The sequence below is a fragment of the Homo sapiens genome, chromosome 4, assembly GCF_000001405.40.
Source record: "Homo sapiens chromosome 4, GRCh38.p14 Primary Assembly".
In the NCBI taxonomy this organism is placed as follows: Eukaryota; Metazoa; Chordata; class Mammalia; order Primates; family Hominidae; genus Homo; species Homo sapiens.
Window position 1 is genome coordinate 55,875,582 of NC_000004.12, and position 22,324 is coordinate 55,897,905.

Consider the following 22,324-nt stretch of genomic DNA (forward strand, 5'->3'; position numbering starts at 1 on the left):
TTGTGCCTGAGTAAACAGTAGTAGAAGAACATAGACAATAATTTTGAGTCTTGAATCATTGAGAAAAATTAATGAGGAAGATTGTTTTGGATAACGATACATTGTTACTAATAAAAACTATTTGGTAAACATTTGTATGATATAAGTCTGTCAAATATTCTTCCCCTTTAATCAGCGTGACCAATTAAGGCACATAGTTTAGGCCAGGCGCAGTGGCTCACACCTGTAATTCCAGCACTTTGGGAGGCTGAAGTGGGCCAATAACTTGAGCCCAGGAGTTTGGGGGCAACCTGGGCAGCATAGTAAGACTCCATCTCTATTAATAAAAATAAATTTTTAAAAAATAAAACACAATTTGGAGACATTTATAGACCTAAAACTATAATATCTATATCTGGCTAGTATCTAATACATGTGATGCTGTAGAATCCTGATTATCCTTCTGGCATCTTGGTTAGAAAACATTTCTGTAATAGAATGTTTATATTGACCTTTGGCAACATAGAAATAGATAATAGTCCAATGGTAATGCCTGTGTATTTTACTTAATATTATTGATTTTGTTCATCTTTATTGTTAGCCCTTACAGAAAAGATATGGTAGCCCAGGCATTCTAAAAATACAGAATTGTTCCATTCTTCAACACTTTAGCTCTTAGTCCTCATTGATTCTTTTGGAAGATGTGATTGTTTTATATTCAGGTAGCCACCCAGAAAAGAATATCCACATAGGTCTACGCTCCGTTATCCAGAATTCTGGGGGTCAGGAGTGTTTTTAGAATGTTTCAGATTTTAGAAAAGCAATACAGTATATATACTGTATATTATATAATCACTCCAAGCACATGTTTTTGCAACAAAAAATATGAATAGTCACTCTAAGCACTATAAATAGGCCCATGTCAGTTCAGGTCACATTTTACCATCAAAATTGTTTTGGTGCCAAGCTTAGTCTGAGTTTTCAGAGCTTTTTGGCTGTCAGAATTACAGAAAGGGATTATGGACCTATTAATATACCTTGTGTATAACATCTGTGGTAGCTGTGAACTTCTGTTGCCCCTGTGTTCTAGTTCTTGTTATTTTGAACTGGTCAGTTTCATTTTGTGATATTTTTCTGCCATCTCTAGTTCAGTTTCCCAAGTTAACCTAAGTAGATATCAGTAAGATGAATCTGAGAAGTGTATTGGTTGTTTTCTACCATTTTATATGTAATTTCTGTATAATGGGTCCTTTTTTCTTTTTAATTTCCATTTTAAATTGGGATATATTCTCACATGAAGAAAATTTTCCAACAGACTGATTTGAAAACATTTATGAAGAAGGGACATGGATAATGATGTGGGTTTTTGTACTTGGCATGTCTTATACTCCCATCTTTCTTTCTCAGTTACCAAGGAACTCCTCATTTCCTCTAGGCCAGAAATGTTTCCTTCTGAATAGTCTGTATTTAAAAGAAAATTTTTTAAAATTCATAACCACTAGGTTATTTTGTGTATATAGTACAGTATATAAATTAGGTGAAAGAAATCCCTTTTAACTTAAAAGAATTTAAATTCAGGACGCTTATTTAGCTAATGTGTACCAACTAGTATGATACACATTCATAATTAGCTTTAGGTAACCTTATCAGGAAATGAGTTAACTAGCTCCAAAACTCTAGCAGTCTGTGTAATTTTAATACAGTTTTCACAAAATGCTGACAAATAACTTCTGGCTATCTAGGCAAATTAGATTGAGTGAAAATTACATCAAATAAATCTGTCTTGGTTTGCCTTTTGCTTGTTGTTGGGAAATTGTATTTTCAATTTGAATCTGCTCCAAGACAGAAGTAAGACTCAGATGACCAAGGTTCCAATTCCAAGCTCTAAGACTTTATATTCTACTTTTTTTTATCTGTTGTTTTAAATATTACAAACTCTAATGGGAATACCATAAATGTAGACTGTTTTGAATGATTTCTCTATTTGTGTTTCTTAATTCAAGCTATATCAAGAAGGTCATTTGCTTGGTAAATTGTGAAATATGGTATGAGAGAGACAAGCTTCATTAAAACGTTCCATCTTCATTCCTTTAAAAGACGGAATGGGTAGTTGATTTATCAGAGTGCCATTCTTGCGTATTTATGATTATCTTATGGTGGTAATGTTCATTTGATATACACAGGATATAAAAGTTGTGTAAGTATTTGGTTTTTATTTTTCTGTGTTCTATTCTTAATTATTTTTCTATGTCTTATTGGTTTGGCTTGGCCACATTTTGGTCATTGTTTAGACTTTTTATTGTAACGTTTCTTTGTACTGTTGATTACATTTATTTACTTATTTTACTCACTTTAGGGTCATGATCAGAGTTCGACTCTTGCCCAACACTCTGTTGAACTGACTTTACCCAATCATCATCCATTTCATAGAGATTTGCTCCGATATGCCAAGCTGATGGAGTGGCTAAAGAGTACAGATTATGGAAAATATGAAGGACTAACAAAGGTATGGATTTGACGTCATTTACTCACTGAGAATAGAGCATTATCTTTTAGAATTAAGAGGTCATGTGTTCAGTTCCCCAAGTTTAAAATACTGTAGTACATTCTTAGCAAAGCAGAAAATGAGTCAGTGCTCTTTACCAGTGATAACATTCATTTTATTAACTTGGATAAAGGAGAGCTAAATTTTAAACTTCAGTATGGAAAAATATTAAGCCATACTGTAGCCTAAAGCATCAATTTAGTTAAATGCTATGCTTATTTCCTGAGTTTCTTTATGTACAGTATAGAAACAAGGAAGTATGAGCATTGCAAGTGAGGTATTTGCCCTCTGTGGATTTATAATCTGTTCTGTTAAGGAAATATAAAGTGCCTCTTTATTAAGCAAGCATTCCACTATTCCAGGCACCTGGGGCCTACCTAATAAGCATCTACTCTAATGCGCTTTAGATCTGACTGGGAAGAATCATACATAAAACAATCAGCAAAAAATTAAACACTAAACTGGAAATGAATTTTAAGCATGTGGCAGTATAGACAAGGAAAATCTCTGTCTCGAGACCATGGGGGAAACTTCATGGACAATATCAGACTTCAGTTGATTTTAAATAATGAGTGCAATTAAATAAACCAGAAATAAGAGAAAGGGCATTCCAGGGATGGGGAGAGAGATGTGCAGACAAAGGTGGGAAAAATACACGCTTGTCCTAGAACAATGAGGTTAAGGGTGACCGAAGCAGAAATTTCCTATTCTAGGGCAGTGAGAAATTATGTTGAAAAAGATGAGCTATGGGACCTACCAGCATTCCTCAAGCATGGGAAAAGATTAAATGAGGGAAATTTAATTAAGAACCTAAAGTAATAATTCAGACGAAATGAAGTGTTGAGCCAGGAAGATGGTGTTGGGAATAGATAGAGAATATAAACCAAAAGAGAGACTCCAACAGCAGAAGGAACAGGTTGATGCCAAACTTGCTGGGCTTGGAGTTTAGAACAGTAGTATATACTGCTGACTAAAATTCTGCACTTGGGGAAGAGCAAAGTCATTTATTCATATATTCAATCAGTAAATGAATTGAGCACCTATTACGTGCTAACACTTGTAAGCACTTAGAGATACAGCATTGAAGGAAACAGGCAAATACTTGCCTTCTCAGAGTACGTATTCTAGAGGAGACAGACAGACAAAAAAGTTAATTATATAGTATGTTAAAAGGTGCTGCTGAGTGTTCTAGAGAAAATAAAGCAGGGAATGCCAGGACTGGGAGAAGGGCGTGGGATAAGGATTTCCAGAGGAGAGCTTTCCAGGCACAGTGCAAGTGCCCTAAGGCAGAGCGTTCCTATTGTGCTTGCAGAGCAGGGAGGCCAGTGTGGTAGGAGCACTGTGAGCCAGGGGCAGACCCTGGTGGGGGCAGGGTGGATCTGGAAGGGATTGTGGACCATGCAAAGATTTGTCTTTTACTGTGCATGACATTGCAGGGTAGGGAGGGGAGATGGTAGACTTTGAGCCATGGAATGACATGGCCTGACTTAGATTTAATAGCCATTGTAGCAGGAAGCCATAGGGACAGTCCTTTTCTGGCATTTATGCTGTTGATCTTTAGTTTAGGAATTGGACATCATATCCCTTTTTAAAAAAATAGAGCTAACGAATTCCCACCTATCTAGTCAAATACGTAAATAGCTAATAGTATTCTAGATAGTCCTGGCTGAAGATCCATTTTATTAAAATTCTGAAATACTCTGAGAAACATCTAAAATCTTTTATCTGTAAGTTTTTGTGAATATGAAGTTTAAAAATAAGAAATCTAATGCATAAGCTGTGTTAATAATTAATAATAATTATATGGACAATATGGCCCTAAAAGATGTTCTAGAATTGGAAATAATGATATGTTTTGTCTCTGTGGAATGAGAATATTGGAATTGCTAATATAAAAGCAACTTCTATCTGGTATCTTAGAGTCATGCTTCAGAAGAAAGCAGAAGGGTTAGGTAGAGATTTATGAAAAGTGTGATAGTAAGAAGGAGGCAAATTATGTATTCCTATCCATGCATTTGTGTTTACGTATTTGACAGTAGGACATTTTTATGTATCAGTTTTCATGTATTTTCTCTTTGAAGTGCCTTTGCCCATTTAAAGTAAAATCTGGCTCTTGGACTTCTAAACTGAGATAATAAGAAAAGGGATATAAACCTTAGTAAAATAAATAATATTTTTAAATTATAATTTTAAAAATGCTTTTCAAAAAAAAAAATCTCCTGAGGTGCTTATATACTTCTTGTCTGGCTAGCTATTTTAGGTGAGATTATTTTAGTTCCTCAGAATTAGTATATTAAGCATTATACACCTCCACTGTTGTGTTATATTTTCTTTTGTCTTGTTTTCATTCAACAGAATTCAGATTTGGAGATATCTTAAGGAAAAAATTTACATTACTGGAATTCTTTGCCTTTTGAAGTTTTAGGAGGATTAATATTCTGAATAATTAAACATAAATTATATTTCCTTAAGAGTTTTGTGCCAACAAGTGCTTTGTCCCCTAGTGAATATTCAAATAAGTAATCAATAAGCTTTTTGCCTAATTGTGTTCCCAGTGAGTATTATTGCCCTATCTTTATATATAATGCAGTATTCATGAATGTAATTTAAAGTGAAGAAACAAGATTAGAGCCAACCTAGTAATGATTTATGGAATCATTCTCTGCTCAGAGTATATTTTTGATTGACAATATTAATGAGCTTTTTAAATGAAATTGACTTTTTCCCAGGAATGTTGCGTCATCCTGTGATTTGAGCTTTTCACAGATTATGTATTTTTACCTCATCATCTAATTTGGTTGCTGAAGAGTTGTCAAAAACAGGAATTTTAAGGAAGAAGAAAGGAATGAAGAAAAAAGAAGGAAACAGACCAATCAGTGTTTCTTTAGTAAGAAATCATAATTCAGAAAGCTATTTGCACTTGGTTAGGTTTACACAGCTCACACTTTTTGGCAGGAACAGGAAAAACTTGTTCAAAATTCTTTGGGAATAAGAATCACTAGCCACTGCCTCTAGCTGTACTGAGGCTGAATCTAAGCAAAGCCCCATTTTTTGGTATACAGAAAATAGTTGTAGCTTGGACTGCCCAGATTCCCTCCTCCCGGGACTGCTACCTTCGTCTGCAACTCTGGGTCATACATGTAGGGTAGTTAGTAGAGATGGTCCATCCATGCTTGGGTAGGAAAGGAGTTTTCCTCTCCTAATAGCCTCCTGAGATTGGCAGTCTGACTTGAAGATGACTCACATGTCTTCTCTCCACCTCAGTTTTACATTTGTAGAATTTGTCTTATTGTTGTGAACCCCAAATGTCTGAGACAAGATCTCAGTCAATTTAGGAAGTTTATTTTGCCAAAGTTAAGGATGCGCACCCATGATACAGCCTCAGGAGGTCCTGACGACATGTGCCCAAGGTGGTCCGAGCACACCTTGGTTTTATACATTTTAGGGAGACATGGGACGTCAATCAGTATATGTAAGGTGAACACTGGTTTGGTCTGGAAAGGCCAAACAACTTGAAGCAAAGGTGGGACAACAAAGTGGGGAGGGGGCTTCCAGATCATAGGTAGACAAGCAACAAATGGTTGCATTCCTTTGAGTTTCTGATTAGCCTTTCCAAAGGAGCCAATCAGATACGCATTTATCTCAGTGAGCAGAAGAATGACTTTGAATAGAAAGGGAGGCAGATTTGCCCAAGCAGTTCCCAGCTTGACTTTTCCCTATAACTTAGTGATTTTGGGGCCCCAAGATTTATTTTCCTTTCACATTGTATAAAGAAAAAGTAAACCATGGAGACCCTACAGCGGACCCAGGTTCCACTGCTTGCTACTCGAAAGCCAAACACTAGAGGCAAGGGTTGCTGTGAGGAAAGGCAGATTTAATCAGCCAGAGAAGCTGAGGTGAGTGGAAGGAAAAAAAAATCAGAGAGCCAGTAGAGAAGATGGTGAACTAGCATTCTAAAGTACCATCTTAAAATTTAAAACTTACCATAGGGTTTTTGTTGTTGTTGTTGTTGTATTGTGTTTTGTTTTGTTTTTGTTTTCGTTTTTGTTTTTTTAGGCAGGGTCTCACTCTGACACCCAGGCTGGAATGCAGTGATGTGATCACAGCTCACTGCAGCCTCAACTTCCTGGGCTCAAGCAGTCCTTCTGCCTCAGCCTCCTGAGTAGCTGGGACTACAGGCATGTGCCACCGCTCCCGGCTAATTTTGCATTTTCTGTAGATACAGGGTTTCACCATGTTGCCCAGGCTGGCATCATAGAGTTTTGGAGAGACACTGATACAGTAAAACCTTCCTGTGGTCTTTCCTATCAGTCAGTTCTGTTGAGTGCCAGGAAAAAAGGTATCTAAGTCATTTGAGTCCCACTGAAAAAGTAATACATCCCAATGAAATAGGAATTTTAATTTATATTTGCTTTTAAAGTTATACAAAGATCATGGGAAATAATTGCCCATTTGACTAACTGTTCTTACATTAGATACAGAGATATGTGAAAAATGTATATGGCATACAAATTGAAAAAGGACAGGATCTATATATATTATGTTTGGTCCAAATGCTATTTTATAAGAATACAGCTATAAAATATTTTAAGACAATCAATGGTAAACTGTGAATCAATATACAAATATTTACACAACATGTACCTTTTGGAAGGTATACCTGATCTTTAAAGCAGGTAAACATGTTCTAAAAATTGACACATTAATTTGAAATAATATAGGAAATTGAAGCTTAGATTTTATGATAAACTTAAAAGAATAGGTACAACTTTTCTGCTTTATTTAAATTTTATTTTCTGGTTTATTTAAATTTAGTCAAATTCTGTTTGTGGCATTTAACTTCATACTTGGAAAAATATACAGTCTCCCACTGTTGAGGAACTCTTCTGGAGAGTATATTTTTATGTGATAATAAGTAGAGATGATGAAGAAATGATTTTTGTATGCCAAAGGATACAAAAATGTTTTTATTTAAGCGAGAATTAATCAAATCTGTTTTAAGAAAATTAATTACTTGATTTTGAAAACTGTAAGATATACTAATGAAGTTCTTATGGAAAATAACCTATTTTGGAGTAATATCCCAAGCTGGCAGAGGCTCAGTGAAACTAAATATTCTTAAGTGCCATTGACACTATTTATTATTGGTCTGTTTTTAAAGCAACATGACAATATAGAGGAAGAGCAATTAAGATTCCCATACACTTTGACCCTGTTATTCCATCCTTAAGAAATTATTTCAAAGAAATAGTTCATTAGAGATGAAAAGCTTATTGTAACATTGTCTATCATAGCAAAACATGGAAACCACTTCATTGTCCTGTGTTAGGGGATTGGTTTACTTAATGGTGCTACACCAACAAAACTGAATACTGTGCTGTCATTAAAATGTGAGACTGGAGAAATGTATTTGTTCTGATTTAGATATTCTGTATAGTGTGATTACAGTGATATTTAAAATATGCAAAAGGTAATATAGAAAAATGAAAATATAAATATGGTTATGTTTGACTTCATATTTTTGTAAATTGTTAATGTTATGATGCCTATTCAATTGTTTTTTAAGACAGAAAGTAACCTATTTTTATATCCTGTGAAATACATCAAAGTTTTGGACTATGAAATTTAAAACAAGCATGAAGGACTTGGGGAATTGAAAAATTGAAATTGTTATATGTGTTTTATTAATAAGAAGTACATGTTACTTTTATTTTAAGAATTACATGGATTATTTATCCCGACTATATGAAAGAGAAATCAAAGATTTCTTTGAAGTTGCAAAGATCAAGATGACTGGCACAACTAAAGAAAGCAAGAAGTTTGGTAAGCTTAGGCATGTCAGTTCATTATCTTCCTATTAAAAATGGCTTTATTTATAACAAATAATTCTAAGACTTCTTAAGCAAGGTGGAGGTAGATCCAGCAGAATTTATGAAAAAAGAGGTCTAAAACGTTGGCTTGATTTATAGCCGTTTCATAGAACAAATATGTATATCTGTAAATTTTCTTTAATTAAAATTCTGCAGTATGTGACTGTGACAGCGATTGTGTATTCATGCTGTAATCAAATATATATATTCATAAGAACAGCAGTTGGTGAGAAAATGAAGTGCAGTCAAGTAGAGAAAGTACTAGACTGAGAGACAGATGTTGGGAGTTCAGTTTAACTGATTCCCTAAAAGACTTTTTATAACAGTTGGGGGCAAGTCACTAATCTCTTAAGTCATTGCTCTCCACATAGAAATGAAACTGGTTCCTGGCTTCTTACTTCTCACTGGCTATTTTGAATCAAAAAGAAAGTTTAAATATTTTCTCCCCTGCCAAAGGGCTATAAAACTGTCACCAAACATTCTCATGTTATTTTACCTTATTTTTCTAAAGAGATGCTTTGATGCATGTTAATTTTTGTTGTTTATAAGTATTTTAAATGGACAAAAACATTATTTGAAAGAATAGCCAGTGACAGTATCAAGTTATGAGGAAGGTGATTTGCCGAGGCCACATTCTGCTCTTGCATGTATCCATCTCTGGAGTTCCTTTTGGATGGAGTTTTGTGCCTATTCAAGTCAAAACCTGGCCTTAAATGGCCACATTGTGTACTCCTCAGTGTGTCTGCATAGCTCCCCTTTAGAATAATGAGTTTAGCATTTGCCTGTTGAAAGGAGCCTATGCCCTAAGCAACTTCAGTAATCAAGAAACATGATTCAAAACTGATAGTACATGTTTCCATTCTTTTCTGTAGGACAGAGAAGACTGTCATTAATGGGTAATTATTCTGTAACTCACTGTTTTTAAAAAAATGCAACACTAATATATTGATTATACTAGTCCAGACATTTGAAATGGTTTGAATTTGTCTGTAAATATGCTACACTTTACAGATACTGATAAGAATCTTGGGACAGTAGGCTTTCGGAAACAGAAATGCTAACTCATCCTAAAGGTTAATTGTTCTTAAACAGCAGTGTGTTTATATCCCTGTTAATGTTTCACTGTGGATATGTTATGCTTTTTTTTTTGAGTAAACAGCATATTATTAATGCAGTTACATGTTTAATGTTTTCATTAAGTATATTTGTCACCACTTGTTAGTGAACCATTTTATTTTGAGAGAACTCCTTCAGTATATGAAAACTGGAGGTAAGAGAGAAATATTTCTAAAATTATCTCCTGAGTAGGTCATTAATCCCAGTATCATAATAGTTTATCGAGTCTAAGATTCACATTAAGATAAATGAAATAATAAGAATATAACTGAAGTACAATAGTATCTTAATGTTATCATTGCATTAACCTGAAACCTAAATTTTTTCCTCCTTGAGAAATTCTTAAATTATCTTGTTAAAAACATTTTTAACTAACATAATACAGGTTAAAAGGTAGTTTTGTAGTTTTATAAGTGTTAAGATCACATATCTTCTATTAAATGTGTCTATTAAATAGCAAGGAATAGGAGAGTTATTTGTGACAATTGAGTGCATAGAAAATTGTGCTCACTTTAGCAGCACATATACTAAAATTGGAACAATACAGAGAAGATGAGCATTGTCCCTGTGCAAGGATGACACACTAATTTGTGAAATGTTCTATAAAACAAATGAAAATTACAGTATCAATTATTTTGATATCAGCTACAGGAGAAGAAAAACTAAACAATTTGGAGAATAAAAATTGGTTCATGTTTGAAAATCCAACTTTTAGCTAGTATTTTAAAATTAATTTCAAGTTAAATGCAAATGACTTGAGAAGTTCTAAATAAGATATAGTGTACATTTTTTTCAAAGATATCTTTTCAGTGATTCAAATTGTGTTTGAATGAATTTTTCATACTGTAGACTGTCCTGGCTTATAATTGTTCAACTTAGGATTTTTTTATTTTACAGTAGTTTGAAAGCAGTCTGCAGTCAGTACGAACCATACTTCAAGTACCCATAGCCATTCTGTTTTTTACTTTCAGTATGGTATTCAGTAAATTACATGAAATATTCAATACTTTATTATAAAACAGGCTTTGTGTTAAATGATTTTGCCCAACTCTAGGCTAATGTGTTTTCACCATGTTTAAGGTAGGCTAGGCCTCTGGTGTTCAGTAAGTTGAGTGTGTTCAATGCATTTTCTCTTTATAATATTTTCAACGTGTAATGGGTTTATCAAAATGTAACTCCAGCCTGGCGCAGTGGCTCACACCTATAAACCCAGCACTTTGGGAGGCTGAGCCGGGAGGATGACTTGAGCCCTGGAGGTCGAGACAAGCCTTGGTAACATGGCAAAACCCCATATATACAAAAAAATCAAAAATTAGCCAGGCATGGTGACATGCACCTGTGGTCCCATCTACTCAGGAGGCTGAGGGGCACGGATCACTTGAGCCTGAGAGGTCAAGGCTGCAGTGAGCCATGATTGTGCCACTACACTCCAGCCTGGACAACAGAGCAAGACCCTGTCTCAAAAAACAAAAAAACAAAAAAACAAAAAAAAAAAAAACAAGAAATGTAACCCCATCGTAAGTCAAGGAGCATCTGTAATTATAATTAAAATAGAAATCTCATTTTAGAATGATGACTTTTCAATGAATGAAAATTAAGTAATTATAAATGAAATTTAAATTAATTTTGCTTTTTGCTTGCTTGTTTGCTCTGAAAATTCTGGGTCACAAATGCTAGTAAGAATAAATGCTGGTAAGAATAGTCAGAATGAATGCATCTTACAAAAAGAAACTATATAGTCAATATAGTGATAGAGAATCAGGGGAATAGAGAATCCTTTCTTTTTCAGCCACTCTTGAGTCAAGTCTTTAACATCTACTTAGCTGAAATAATTCAAAATTATGCTAACGTACCAGGGAAGTAGCTTTTCTTTGTGATAAGACCTTTGTGTAGGTTACTGCCTTTTTAAATAGATTTATTTTGATATTTTCAAAGGCATGGAATTTTTTCCCACAGGATTGATGTTTCAGTGTATTTTTTTCCTTTGTATTCTACAAATTTAATGAAATGACAGGGAAAGGAAATTTAGTAATTTTTTTTTAGTCACCATTTTTACTTTCTACTGTTGAGATATATATATCACCTCTCATTAGTCCCTTAATACATACATTTACATAATCATTGCCCTCCTTCCAATTTAATATTCCAAATCTTTAAAATAGCCAAGATTATTCTATTATTGTTTCTCCGCTAAACTAGGAAACCTTGTTGATTCCAAAGAGTCGTGAATACAATGCTGAATTCAGGGATGGCTGGAAGATTAACTCAATAAATATTTATAAATTACCTATTATCTAATAACTCACTGTTATAAGTACTGGGAATGCAGCAGTAAACAAAGACCCTACCTTTATGAAGTTTACATTCTAGTGGGGATTATATAAAGATATTTAACATTTTACCTGAGTGTTATCACTTGCTGATAAGGGATATAGGCTGTTTTATGAACCTCAAATTATAATTAATAGGCACTACTACTAAGTCTGTATTCCTTATTGACTACTAAAGAAAGAAAACTAGTCAGGCATGGTGATCCACATCTATAATCTCAGCTATATGGGAGGCTGAGGTAGGAGGATCACTTGAGCCCAGGAGTTCAGGTCCAGCCTTGTCAACCTAATGAGATCCTGCCTCAAAAAAAAAAAAAAAAGGAAACCATATAAAGAATTAGATTTTGCTCTGGCACTGCTGAACATAGCATAGTGACACCTTAAGGCACCAGAAAGTACTGTTCAGATTGGCTAGCTAGTAGCTCCAGCGTGATCCCTGTTTGCCACTTTAATGTCCAGCCTTGTTTTTTCATATTCCCTTGAGCTTCAGGTAGCCAAGGCTAGAAAGATATACCTGTCACTGATGAAGATATACCAGTCACTGATGTGACAAGATTTTTGCCTTGAAGCTTGGCAGGGATAATGTCAGTTGACACATCTTTTTGCTGTTTTAAAGATATTTTTAGGTTTTAGTTTTATTCTTTAACATTCTGTTTCATCCTATGATCTTTCTTCACCTTTCACATCAACTTCTAATTTGAGTATAGACTGTTTTTGCAAAATTAGCTCTCATATTGATCTAATAAATATTATAGAGAGAGAAGTTTTAGATAAAAGAAATGCCTAATGACCTAAAAAGAGTTCAAATTCTTATATTACATCTGTTCCCTAAACTTTACCCTTTTATTCATACATCTGATTGTTAGTGTTATGATATATATCTTTCATTCTGAGCACTCACAAAGCCAGTGATTAAGTAATTCAGCTTGATAATTAGTTTTAACTTTTCAGTGGTTTTAAAGCCCCACTCATATAATTTTTTGTTGGATATAGTATAAAATTATTTAGTCAGTGGAGAATCCTTTCAGGAGTTTTCAGGGAATACAAGATTGTTGACATCTAAATCTGCAGCTGCATTCTAATAAATTGCCACTTTATTTACTTGAATTATATTTTCTCAGGAAACCCAAACTTGCAAATTTAGTCTTTTAAATTTAAGTGTACCAGCTTAATAAACTTAAAAAAAAAAAACATTTTAAAGTGTAGGGGGGTTACACATAGATATTTCTACCTGAATATTTGAGTAAAAACAATACATTAAAAGTAAAGTTTTTTCTCTCATATAATTTCTCAAACAGTAGGTGACCAACTAAACATGTGTTTGCACTTCTTGTTACTTGATGCTCATGGTTCTTTGCATGTGTCTTTTAAACTAGAGCTTTAACTTCCTCTTGTGCATGGTTTGTGCAAATTGCAGTTTATTAACTTGTCTTTGTCTTTGATGCTTGCAACCTAATCCATCACAGCTACACTGCCTCGAAAAGAAAGTGCTGTCAAACAGGAAACAGAGAGTGAGTATGCTTAGTGTATTAGTAGGTATTCTCAATGCATGTTTGTTTAATGTCTAGAAATTAGTTGTCTTGAAAAAAGGTAACACCAAAAATTTTGATTGCTCTGAATTGCCAGGTATTGGTGAAAGAAAGCCAACATGATGGTAGTGATATGGCTGTATCCAAGAAATATATGATATAGTTAAAATTACTTGACGAGTAGTAGAACATTGTGTCAGAAATTTGTGAAAAGACTTAACCATTATACTTCTATTTTCAGGCTGTTTAGAAACTATAAAAAATCTTATATAGATATGGTCGGATTTTACATAATGAAGCCAAAGTTTATCTTTAATTGTACCTGTTCTGTCTTCATTTGTCTTTTCTGACCATTAGCAAATAGTACAAGTTAACTGAGAGATATTCAGGAAGGATGTTTTTAAAATATATTAGTTATTGTTTATGTTTAATTCTGAATAAAAATATCACATTTTCTTCTAAAAATCAAATCCTTTAATTCCTTGGTGTATGTGAGCTATTGCCAGCTATATGTTCTCATTTTTCCTCATGGCTATGACGGATACCAAAATTTTACCTAAACACAGATGTCCCATATTAATATGATTAGTGATGTATGTATTACATTTCGGCTGTATTTTAAATATAACGAGTTTTCAGGGTGTTTTTTCTGTTCATTTTATTTAGTTTTTAAAGGACTATAATCAGTTCACTTACTGGAAAAGCAGTTTCAGAGTTTGGAACATACTAAGTTGAATCATATGTAATTGACTTTTTTTGGTAGGGCAAAATGATCAAGTATGGGCAGTTTCATGTGGTTCAACCTAATATATTGATTTATTGTGGAGGTAACATTGAGATGCAGCAGTTTTCTTCTGAAGTATAACAAAGTCATGCTGGCTAATATGCTAACGTGGTCCTCATTGACCTTCATCCATATTCCTGTCCTTTTGAATGGAAAAGAAACCCTCATCTACTTTAGTCTAGCGATATCACCAGGCGACTTTATGAAATGGGCAGGTTATAGACAATATGCTCCTTAAGGTCCCTTTCAGTCCCGTTCTATGGATCTGTGTAGTTTCGCTTCTTTTTTCAATATGCTCAGAATTAGGACACCAATGTTAATGGAAGATAAGGAAACTATACCACCTATCCCTTATAGAAGATTTGTGCACTAACTAATATGAGCCCTGGAAGATCAAGCCAGTAGAAGATAGAAGATCTATCCCTGCTTTATACTTTGGATCATTTATTTGTGAAGATCACAACTTTCAAAGTTTTATTATTTCTTAGGTCTTCATGGAAGTTCGGGGAAATTAACTGGATCTACTTCTAGTCTAAATAAGCTCAGTGTTCAGAGTTCAGGGAATCGCAGATCTCAGTCATCTTCCCTGTTGGATATGGGAAACATGTCTGCCTCTGATCTCGATGTTGCTGACAGGACCAAATTTGATAAGGTAAACTAAAATAACAAGTACTTCTTAAACATTAACATTAGTTTTCTAACAGCAGTTTGTGGTTGCTCTAAGTGTGTTCAAAGATTTGGGTTCTTCTGGCTCTCTTAAGCATTAACCATGTCTTTCCAACTGAATCGAATCTGGGAAAAAAAAAAAAAAAAACTAGTCAAAGGACAAGTAAAATGTGAATTATCAATGAAATGGCATAAAAGCTTTATTAAAATTTGTTATAAATCATAAAATGCTTATATCTCAAATCTAAGTTGTTTGGGCACCTAAAAAGTAAGAGGAAATAAAAGCTTTTGTGATGCTGGCCTTTCTCTGTACTAAATTAAATAAGTTTTTTTGTTTGTTTGTTTTTGAAATGGAGTCTTGCTCTGTCACCCAGGCTGGAATGCAGTGGCACAGTCTCAGCTCACTGCAACCTCCACCTTCTGGGTTCAAGCAGTTCTTCTGCCTCCCTCCCAGGTAGCTGGGATTACAGGTGCCTGCCACCACACCCAGCTAATTTTTGTATTTTTAGTGGAGATGGGGTTTCACCATGCTGGCCAGGCTGGTTTCGAACTCCTGAGCTCAAGTGATCTGCCCGCTTTGGCCTCCCAAAGTGCTGGGATTACAGGCATGAGACATCATGCCTGGCCATAAATAAGTTTTAAAAGTTGATCTTTGTGCTCCTCTTTCCAGATGTGAAGTGAATAACTGTGAGTTTTATTTTAGGTTTATTTTGTGGCCTTGTTATACCTTGCTAATACCATTGTCCTGTAGATCTTGGAAGAGTTTGTTTTTGGGATTCCATTGAGATTATAAATTCATAGATTAGTGAGATTATGGATCCATGGTCTGTGCAGAAAAGAAAATTAAATGTGGAGTGTTATTTTAAGCATTTGGTGCAGTTCTTTCGTTATAGGATCACTTTGGTTTTCTTCAGATCTTTGAACAGGTACTAAGTGAACTGGAGCCCCTATGTCTGGCAGAACAGGACTTCATAAGTAAATTTTTCAAACTACAGCAACATCAAAGTATGCCTGGAACTATGGTATGGCTCACAGTGTATTTTGGATAGTATTTATGATCTGTAATATAATTAGCTTAATTAATATGTGGTCACAATTTTATGATCAGAAGAGAAAAGGAAAGAATTTATCATGTAAGGATTTTTTTATGATGTAAGGATTTAGGATGTAAGGAATTTTTGTAATACCACAAGATGATAAAAACAGTGACAGATGAAGTTTGGGCATCTAATTTAATATTTCAGAATATTACAAGCCTAAATATTCTCTAAATTAGTGGGGGGAGGAATGTCTGAGTTTACTTTGCAAAGAACATTATTTAAAAGGCTAGTTTAACATTTTAGTAGTCATCAAGATAAATATAATGTTTTAAAATGATGTTAGAGTGTATACACTTTGGTATACCAAATAACAATAATGATAAATAAAAGAAAATGAGGCCTCAGATTTGCCTTCCTTGTGGCTTTGTTACTAACTAGCCATGAGATCTTAAGCCAGTTATTCGATCCCCAGCTTTCCTCTTCTGTAAAGTAGATATCATAGTGCCTATTCAGCATGCCTTTCTGGTAGCATACATATAAGAGAATAAGATGAGAGAGTTTCTTGAGTATTTTGAAGAACTTAAAAACAGTGCAAATAAAGTGTTTTTTAAATTATCATCTCAAAATTGTATGCCACAGACAACCAACTTATAAAAGCAGTCATAAAATAAATGAGAAATGGATTATGATAAATGGTTTAGAGTGTTCATTGTTATGGTAGTAATGGTGGCAAATTTGTTTATTTGTTGGCCTCTGTAAGAATTTTTTATAGCATTTTTTTAATGCTGAAGTTCTATTAGAATAATTGATGAGATTTCCTTAATTTTTTAAATTCTCTTTTGAAAGTTGTGTTTGGACGTTTTCTATTTTTGTGGTGGTTGTTGTCAAGCTGCCCCCACTCCCACACCTTGCGTTCAGCTTCCTGTACCTCCCTACTTCCCCTCAGGTGCACACACAAATACAACTTCTCACCCCACAAAAGTTCTTGGATAAAACCTAAGAAGAGTATCTCATGAACATTCTTAAATAGCATACTAAATTATATAGCTAGCTTTATCATAATGCTACCTTTAAAAATATTTTTCATAATGTATTCTTTCCTAGGAATTTTAAGACTGAGCAGGCTTTTGCTATATCAATACTAGTCAAATTGTTGGTCTTTTATTATGTAAAGTGCCTGAATAATTTTTGCAGGCTGAAGCAGAGGACCTGGATGGAGGAACATTATCACGGCAACATAATTGTGGCACACCACTGCCTGTTTCATCTGAGTATGTCTTTGTTACTATCATTGTTTATTTTGGAAAAAATAAACTTTAAAATGTGGAGTGCTGCTCATTGAGGGGTCTAGATGTTTCTCAGTAGCCTGACAGCACTCACAGTACCAGCATGTGTGTCCATTGTCTTATCAAACGTTTTACTGATTTAAAATAGGGCCTATTTTATGGCTCTTCAACTCTTCCTTGCTCCAGGACTTACAGAAGATGAAGTCAGTCTGTTGTTTGCTGGTAGGGGGAAGCCTTTGAATTGTAGTGTATTTCTTAGAAATCACAAAGCACATTTCATGACCCAGCTTTACAAATTAAAACTAATTCAAATGATAAAACCCAACATCAGTAAAATATTTTTATATCAAAAACTACTATAATCATATTTAGACATTTTTATTTGTTTTTTGTTGTTGTTGTTTTCTGAGATGGAGTCTCCCTCTGCTGCCCAGGCTGGAATGCAATGGCGCCATCTCAGCTCACTGCAACTGCACTTCACCTCCCGGGTTCAAGCGATTCTCCTGACTCAGCCTCCCAAGTAGCTGGGATTACAGACATGCACCACCACGTCTGGCTAATTTTTGTACTTTTGGTAGAGACAGGGTTTTACCATGTTGGCCAAGCTGGTCTTGAACTCCTGACCTCAGGTGACCTGCACACCTTGGCCTCTCAAAGTGCTGGGATTACAGGCGTGAGCCACCACGCCTGGCTATTTAGACATTTTTAATTGAAATTTAATTATGGTATTTTTGTCCTTTTGTATATACCCAGTGGATTAAAGTTAACGGTGAATTCACCTGAAGCTTGTTATAACTTTATACTTCTTGTCTGTTTTCTGAACAGGAAAGATATGATCCGCCAAATGATGATTAAAATATTTCGCTGCATTGAGCCAGAGCTGAACAACCTAATTGCATTAGGAGACAAAATTGATAGCTTTAACTCTCTTTATATGTTAGTCAAAATGAGTCATCATGTGTGGACTGCACAAAATGTGGACCCTGCTTCTTTCCTAAGTACTACATTGGGAAATGTTTTGGTGACTGTCAAAAGGAACTTTGACAAATGCATTGTAAGTTTTCTTTTTTAAAAAAATACCTTAGCATCCTAGTCATTGCAAAATATAGGTAAATGTATTTAAAATCGAGGGATTTCCAGCTTTCTGTTGGGGAATCTGTTGTTTATGTCCCTCGAAGCAGGGCATGGCAACAATCTACATGAACAGAGTTAGTTGGGTGGCACTATGCCAGCTAGTTTCCATTCCACACTGTGAATCTTGGCAAGTTCTGGAGGAAGTGGCACAGTGGCACCAGTTGCTTAAGAGATCCACTGGAGGCCAGACGCAGTGACTCACACCTGTAATGCCAGCACTTTTTAAGGCCGAGGTGGGCAGATCACCTGAGGTCAGGAGTTCGAGACCAGCCTGGAGAACATGGCGAAACCCCATCTCTACCAAAAATACAAAAATTAGCCGGGCGTGGTAGCACATGCCTATAATTCCAACTACTCGGGAGGCTGAGGCAGGAGAATTGCTTGAACCTGTGAAGTGGAGGTTGCAGTGAGCCAAGATTGCACCAGTGCTCTCCAGCCTGGGTGACAAGAGTGAAGACTGTGTCAAAAAAAAAAAAAAAAAAATCTACCGAATCACTGACATCTCAGTTTATTAGTCAATGACCATTGATTTAATGAAACAATTGAAACAATCATTTGGGTTTATTGTTATTGTTCTTCTTTTAATACATTCTAGTAAGAAAACTAATTTGATTATTTTAATTATTTAATTTATTTTAATAGTTTAGTAGCTTTAATAATTGTATTTTATTTTAGGAATAAATTGTTATAACTGAGCAATTATCATTTTCCTCCTAATAGAAAAAAATTTGACAACTTTCTTACTATCTGTTACTTTTTTTTTTTTTTTTTTTTTTTTTGAGATGGAGTCTCGTTCTTGTTGCCCAGGCTGGAGTGCAACAGTGCAATCTCGGCTCACCGCAACCTCCGCCTCCTGGGTTCAAGTGATTCTCCTGCCTCAGCCTCCCGAGTAGCTGGGATTGCAGGCATGCGCCACCACGCCCTGCTAGTTTTGTATTTTTAGTAGAGATGGGGTTTCTCCATGTTGGTCATGCTGGTCTCAAACTCCCAACCTCAGGTGATCTGCCCACCTCAGCCTCCCAAAGTGCTGAGATTACAAGCAAGAGACACCGGCCATCTATCCATTACATTTTTTATACTTGTATGTATGAATTGGGCTAGGCCAGGTTAAAAAATGCTTCATGAACACTTCTCAAGGCATGGCACTAGAGAAGGTAATCTAGACAAAGATATAAATTCATATTTTCTCATAAGTTGCATATATATATATAAAGGACATAGGTTTGCCACTGAAGAGGAGGGTGGTTTCTTCTGCCTGTCATACTTCTGTATATCTTATTTCAATAATGTCTTATTTTTGATAAGATCTTATCTCTCATTTATGAACACTGGTCAATAAGATCAATAGACAGCATTTATAAATGAGTGCTTACTGTGTACCAGGCACAAGTCTGGGCACTTTGCACACATTATGTCATCTAATCTTAAACCCAGCCCCTCAATAAGGTAGATTGTTTGAGAGGTGAAGTTACTTTCCCCAGGTCCACAGTTAAAAAATATGGATCTTGTATTCAAACCCAGAAAGTCTGGTTCTAGTACCTGCAATCTTACCACTACCTTTTCTACTGCATCTGTTTTTCACCTCACAGTTACCAATACTGATGAAGTAGAACATTAGTACAGATAATATGAAATAACTGACTATACTCTTAGGGTTTTCTTATACTAATGTCAGAAGCCTAGAGATAATTATTTTTCTAATCCATGTGTCATATGGTTTTTGAGTTATACTCCCCAAATCTCAACACAATGAAATGTTAGGTAGAAGCTGAAATAATACAAAAGTATTTGGCAGTGTAATCATTCCTACTGAGTAGATTTAGATCCCTTCAGAATCATAGAACCATAATTGAATCCGTGGATCGTTTTGAACCTAAGATTCTGTCTGCATGAAACATTTCTTTCGCATTTTGTCATATAATGCACAAGCAGTTTGTGGAACTAAGGCTAAGTGACTAATAAATATATGGAAAATTAAATAATGCAAATCCATATGGAAATGCCTATCCTCCCTCTTTGTTTCTGTACTCTGAAAATAGAGAGTTTGTCTATCCAGACAGAAATTTTAGACTGACGAAAATTGGAAATGACTGTGGTTCTCAAACTTGACCACGTGGCCACCAACCAGAAGTTACCCGGAGGGATCCTATAGGTGCTCTGGAATCTTCTCTCCTGTAACCTAAAATCAGTAATTGCCTTGTACTCATCTTTCATAAATGGTAGAAATGTGTGTTGACTGTTTTTACTTTGTACAGAGACTTGAAGTTCACGGCCTTGATTGTATTTTGTTTTGTTTCATTTTATTTTTTGAGACAGTCTTGCTCTGTCACCCAGGCTGGAGTGCAGTGGCGCAATCTTGGCTCACTGCAACCTCTGCCTCCCAGGTTCAAGCAATTCTCATTCCTCAGCCTCCCAAGTAGCTGGGATTACAGGCATGCACGACCCCACCCAGCTAATTTTTTTTTGTATTTTTTGTAGAGACGAAAATGGCCAGGCTGGTCTTGAACTCTTGGCCTCAAGCGATCCACCCACCTTGGCCTCCCAAAGTGCTGGGATTACAGGCATGAGCCACCGTCCCCAGCTTATAGATGGTTTTAAATAATCTGTATTATTTTGATTTTCTTAAACTTACTGTAAAATGGTTTTATTATCTATAGAATTAGTTTTTCTTAGTTATCCTTGTTTTGATTCATCTTCAATTAGTAAGCATCCAAAGTGTTCTAGGTACCACATAATATCCTGCCTCTATGATATCTATGTATATATCTATATCTCCATCTATATATTTTGTTATGATTATATGTAGTTTTAAAGTTGCTTGGTTATTTATCTCCCTTGCTCTCTGCCTAACTTTAGAGTAACCAAATAAGGCAAATGGAAGAAGTAAAGATCTCAAAAAAGAGTAAAGTTGGAATTCTTCCATTTGTTGCTGAATTTGAAGAATTTGCTGGACTTGCAGAATCAATCTTCAAAAATGCTGAGCGTCGTGGAGACCTGGATAAAGCATACACCAAACTTATCAGAGGAGTATTTGTTAATGGTAAGCTTTTGTTATGTTCTAAAGAATTGTTATAGCTATTGTTTTTATTTCTGGTAACTAAGAAATCGGGAGCAGATAGGTTCATTATTTTGTATATCTTATAATCTTTTTTAGGTTTTCTAACATTAAAGATTTCTTGAATTTGGAAAATAAAACCTATTTGTATTCATTATGAACCACTTACATTTTAGGGTTTATGTGGGCTTATGACTATGCAAAATTGAAAATCTTTTTTTTTTTTTTTTAAGATGGGCCTCACTCTGTCGCCCAGGCTGGAGTGCGGTGGCATGATCTTGGCTCACTGCAACCTCCACCTCCCAGGCTCAAAAGATCCTCCTACCTCACCCTCCCAAGTAGCTGGGACTACAGGTGCACCCTACCATGCCCTGCTAATTTTTTGTAGAAAATCATTTTTTAAACACAAAAACATGACCTTCCAGATTACATTTGCATTTTAACAAGTGGTCTTCTAGAGATGATGGGCTGTGATGTGTGTGTAACCTTAAGCAAATCAATTCACTTATTTAGGACTCAGTTTTTCATATCTACTATACAAGGAAATTAGTACTAAAATACAAGAGAAATTAGTGCTGAAATACTGTAATTCGCTTTCTTCCTGTGTCAGATCCCACAATTAAGTTACAGAAAAGTCTGGACATGTCATTTCATCTGAAATAAATGATCTGATTGCATATATTCAGGAATTGTAAAAGCTAAAAAATTGATAGAAAATGGAATCATCTCACCAATTGTTGCCCAGGTTGGAGTGCGGTGGCATAATCTCGGCTCGCTGCAACCTTCACCTCCCGAGTTCAAGCAATTCTGCTGCCTCAGCCTCCTAAGTAGCTGGGATTATAGGCAGGCATCATCACGCCTGGCTAATTTTTGTATTTTTAATAGAGACAGGGTTTCACCATGTTGGCCAGACTTGTCTCAAACTCTTGACCTCAAGTGATCTGCCCGCCTTGGCCTCCCAAAGTGCTGGGATTACAGGCATGAGCCACC

The 22,324-nt window shown here is 35.3% G+C and overlaps 1 protein-coding gene, 1 long non-coding RNA gene and 1 pseudogene across 14 annotated transcripts in view; 2 read left to right on the plus strand and 1 right to left on the minus strand.

Moving 5' to 3' along the window:
* EXOC1 (exocyst complex component 1) overlaps positions 1-22,324 on the plus strand; it is a 51,439-nt gene that overhangs the window by 21,934 nt on the left and 7,181 nt on the right. For 5 of the 10 annotated variants that reach the window (XM_005265747.4, NM_001024924.2, XM_005265748.2 and 2 more), the window contains 8 exons: positions 2,336-2,485; positions 8,242-8,347; positions 13,307-13,351; positions 14,642-14,805; positions 15,734-15,841; positions 17,054-17,130; positions 17,971-18,199; positions 21,136-21,319. In XM_005265747.4, the coding sequence (XP_005265804.1) occupies positions 2,336-2,485; positions 8,242-8,347; positions 13,307-13,351; positions 14,642-14,805; positions 15,734-15,841; positions 17,054-17,130; positions 17,971-18,199; positions 21,136-21,319 (1,063 nt within the window). Of the gene's footprint in view, positions 1-2,335; positions 2,486-8,241; positions 8,348-13,306; positions 13,352-14,641; positions 14,806-15,733; positions 15,842-16,963; positions 17,132-17,970; positions 18,200-21,135; positions 21,320-22,324 lie in introns of those variants that run through there. The other 5 variants (XM_017008405.3, XM_005265750.4, XM_017008406.2 and 2 more) reach the window with 2 other exon arrangements.
* Positions 10,014-10,120, plus strand: RNU6-652P (RNA, U6 small nuclear 652, pseudogene; annotated as a pseudogene).
* Positions 14,011-22,324, minus strand: part of EXOC1-AS1 (EXOC1 antisense RNA 1) — a 58,421-nt gene continuing 50,107 nt past the window's right edge. For all 4 annotated transcript variants that reach the window (XR_007058123.1, XR_941066.4, XR_941069.4 and 1 more), the window contains one exon: positions 14,011-14,945. This is a non-coding gene — a long non-coding RNA (EXOC1 antisense RNA 1). The remainder of the gene's footprint in view (positions 14,946-22,324) is intronic.